The sequence below is a fragment of the Homo sapiens genome, chromosome 6, assembly GCF_000001405.40.
Source record: "Homo sapiens chromosome 6, GRCh38.p14 Primary Assembly".
Lineage (NCBI taxonomy): Eukaryota > Metazoa > Chordata > Mammalia > Primates > Hominidae > Homo > Homo sapiens.
Genome location: NC_000006.12, coordinates 113,004,250 through 113,004,994, shown reverse-complemented (window position 1 = coordinate 113,004,994; position 745 = coordinate 113,004,250). Strand labels below are relative to the sequence as shown.

The window sequence follows — 745 nt, the reverse complement described above, 5'->3', positions numbered from 1 at the left end:
CCTTGGATTGAAAACCTGGGCATTTTTTTCTCAGTTGATATATGTGTCTGCTTTCAGAATCAGAATTTGCCTAAAGCTCTTAAGCAGAAAGATAAGTACAGATACTTTATCAGTCAGACAAGCATGTTGGAAACTTTCAGACCATTGGTTCTATGATGATTAGCAACTTTCTTAAGTTTTCTGTTTTAGATTAGTCTTCTAAAAAATAACGAGAGAGAATTTGTATAAATTACATGACAGCATTCATTTATCTTTAAAATTCTACTGTATGACTAAAGGATCTCATTCCAGAAAAAAACAGTCACGGGAATTATTCATGTTGATCAGAAATTGGCCAGAGATATATTGCTCTCAAATTGGGACGCTTCATGAATAGACTCAGCACTAAAATTGAGATTAAACTAGAAGGTATGTGCTTCCCCTTTTTTGGTTAAAATCAGCAGTAAAATCAAAAGTTGTCTGAAAAGAAGTGTTCCAAAATCCAAAGACATCTATGACTTGTAGTTGTTACACTTGGTGAATAAAAACAAATGACAGTTTTATTATAAACCTTAAGCTAAATCCAAAACTTGATGAATACAACCACTGCTGTGTTTTGTTGACATTATTACCATATGTTAATTACTGAAGAATAACTCCATAGGTTGCAATAATTGATTGCTTTCTTCATTTATATGAATGCCATTGTTCCAGATGTTTTCAGGATTCACAGCAAGAGTATCCTGGACTTAAAAAGCTGCCAGCA

At 33.0% G+C, this 745-nt stretch overlaps 1 annotated feature.

Moving 5' to 3' along the window:
- Nucleotides 1–201: a silencer, noted in NCBI's record as "peak6047 fragment used in MPRA reporter construct". NCBI's record gives its function as "represses an SCP1 promoter by STARR-seq MPRAs in K562 erythroleukemia cells {active_cell/tissue: K562}" and the evidence as "EXISTENCE:reporter gene assay evidence [ECO:0000049][PMID:32103011]".